General features: G+C 48.7%; 1 annotated feature.

Annotated features, from left to right (window-relative positions):
- Window positions 2,222–2,271: an enhancer, noted in NCBI's record as "active region_3566". NCBI's record gives its function as "activates an Ori minimal core promoter by ATAC-STARR-seq in GM12878 lymphoblastoid cells {active_cell/tissue: GM12878}" and the evidence as "EXISTENCE:reporter gene assay evidence [ECO:0000049][PMID:35858748]".

The following is a 3,009-nucleotide window of genomic DNA, read 5'->3' on the forward strand; positions in this document are numbered from 1 at the left end:
AGAGACCTGTGGGTGTATTTGGAGCAGGGAGGGCTTAAAGTGCTATATTTGGGGACAAAAAGGGAAGTCTTCACAGTGGAACTGCTCTTTTAAAGTTCCTGGATAGGTTGGTCTTTTCTCGGTAAGGGCTAGATCTTGGCAGGTTAAGGGACCAAATTAACTAAACCCAGTACCTCCTACAAAGGAATGATGTGGGGAAGACTTGACAATTATTCTGTCTGCCTCACTCCCTATTCTTTCCTCTTGAGCTCTGGCAGTTTTAATAAAAGACAAACACTTGGATCTGCATTTTTTTTTTTTTTTTTTTGAGATGGAGTTTCGCTCTTTTTGCCCAGGCTGGAGTGCAGTGGTGCGATCTCGGCTCACTGCAACCTCCACCTCCTGGGTTCAAGCAATTCTCCTGCCTCAGCCTACTGAGTAGCTGGGATTACAGGTGTCCACCACCATGCCCGGCTAATTGTTGTATTTTTAGTAGAGACGGGGTTTCACCACGTTGGCCAGGCTGGTCTCAAACTCCTGACCTCAGGTGATCCACCCACATTGGCCTCGCAAAATGTTGGAATTACAGGCGTGAGCCACCGCCAGGATCTGGTCTCTAAGGAGTTATTCTCTAGCCACCACGCCCAGCCAGGATCTGCCTTTTAACCTCCATTTGCTGTTGAGATGCTCAGTTCAACCTGCTGTGCGGGATAGACATCGATGTCTCCCTGAGAAGCACATATAGGCTCTCTGAGGTTTCTTTTCTTCTTCTTTTTTTTTTTTTTTTTTGAGACGGAGTCTCGCTCTGTTGCCCAGGCTGGAGTGCAGTGGCGCAATCTCGGCTCACTGCAAGCTCCACCTCCCAGGTTCACGCCATTCTCCTGCCTCAGCCTCCCGAGTAGCTGGGACTACAGGCGCCCACCAACACGCCCGGCTAAATTTTTTTTTGTATTTTTAGTAGAGATGGGGTTTCACCGTGTTAGCCAGGATAGTCTCGATCTCCTGACCTCGTGATCCATCCATCTCAGCCTCCCGAAGTGCTGGGATTACAGGCTCTCTGAGGTTTCTACTTGAGATTTCCTGCAAAGGGAGCACATACCACATAGGATCTGGACTGTGCCATTTGTACTGTTCCAGCGGAGTCTCTGGGCAGGGCCACAGGCTTGAAAGCCCCTTTGGGGAAAGCCTATCATTTCCCCAGGCCCTTCTTCAGTAGCTGCATGATCTTCCTCCACCTTCTGCTTAGATTCTGGAACCAGTTGCTGCAGCACTTCTGCTGCAGCCACCACAACCCTGTTGCTGCTACCTGAGGAAGTGGCTTTATTTATTTATTTATTTATTTGAGACAGGGTCTCACTCTGTTGCCTGTGCTGAAGTGCAGTGGCACAATTTTGGCTCACTGCAACCTCAGCCTCCCCAGGCTCAGGTAATCCTTCGACCTCAGCCTCCCAGGTAGCTAGGGCTGCTGGTACATGCCACCACGCCCAGCTAATTTTCATATGTTTTGTAGAGACAGGGTTTCACTATGTTTCCCAGGCTGGTCTCAAACACCTGGGCTCAAGCAATCCTCCTGTCTTAGCCTCCCAAAGTGCTAGGATTATAGGCGTGAGCCACTGTGCCTAGCTGGCTTTTTAAAAAATTATTTCTTTCTTTATTTTAGAGATGGGGGTCTCACTATGTTGCCCAGGCTGGACTTGAACACCTGGGCACAAGTGATCCTCCTACCTCAGCCTCTGAGTAGCTGGGACTACAGGCACGCACCAGGAAGTGGCTTTTGTAACTTCCTTTGTCCCCTTCTGAGCTCTTTACTCTTCCTGACCATGTCCTTTTTCCATCCTGTGGAGACCCTAAAAGGTATCCCCTCACAGTTGGCTTCTGCCCAGGCTAGTTATGCCTCCAGACCCCTCATCTTTTGTCCTCCTCCATCCCCTCCCAACCCAAGGAAGCAATTAGAAGATAAAATAGGCCGGGCGTGGTGGCTCATGCCTGTAATCACAGCACTTTGGGAGGCCGAGGTGGGTGGATCACTTGAGGTCAGGAGTTCAAGACCAGCCTGGCCAACATGGTGAAACCCAGTCTCTACTAAAAATACAAAAACTAGTCAGGCATGGCGGTGCGTGCCTGTAATCCCAGCTACTTGGGAGGCTGAGGCAGGAGAATCACTTGAACCCAGGAGGCAGAGGTTGCAGTGAGCTGAGATCGCACCACTGCACTCCAGCCTGAGCCACAGAGGGAGACTCCATCTCAAAAAAAAAGAAGAACTATAAATAGCTAAAGGTGACTTCATCATCACTACCACCCTCACCCTCAAAAACAAAAACAAACTGAAAGTTTGATCTCCTTCAACTGAGTACCCAAAACGACTGAGTGGGTGAAGACAGGCTATTTAACCTATGGTCTCTGAGATCTTTTTTTGGAATTCTAAGACAGTGCACTTGGAAGAGTCTGCGGCCTGGGTCTGATTATTGGCACAAATGTGCCCTCTGCTGGCAGAATCAGAGCAATGGCACTTTCCTTCTCTGAAGTCTAATTCTCACCTACCTCCAACGCCCTCCCTTCTTTAGTAGTCTCAATTCAGCTTTATTCTTCCCTCTCCCATCCCACCTTCCCCTCCAGCCCTCCAGCCATTGCTTTCTCTTCATTTACTTCCCAGAGACTGTTTAATATGGTTGCTTCCTCTAAGGAGCGAGGAAATGTTGATAGCAAAGGGCTCAGAGGGCCTTTCCAACTTCTCTGAGTTCTGTGAACTGAAGCCTTACCTAGAAAGTATGAGGCAAGGGAGGGAAAGGGGAGAACTTGGATGAAGACTGTGGGGAGAGGGAACCAAGAAGAGTGATGGAGGTGGCTAAATCAAAGCAGGACAGAATTTGTATAAAAGAGCAAAAGACCTGGGAACAAAGGGCAAAAGGATGAAAAATGGGAGGGCAGGAAAAGAGACAGATCAGAAATCAGATCAGGGGAATGGGTTAAAGAAGATTAAGGAGAGATCAGGATTTAGGAATAAAACTAGAAGATAACAGCAACAGAAGG

Source organism: Homo sapiens, chromosome 10 (assembly GCF_000001405.40).
Source record: "Homo sapiens chromosome 10, GRCh38.p14 Primary Assembly".
Classification (NCBI taxonomy): domain Eukaryota; kingdom Metazoa; phylum Chordata; class Mammalia; order Primates; family Hominidae; genus Homo; species Homo sapiens.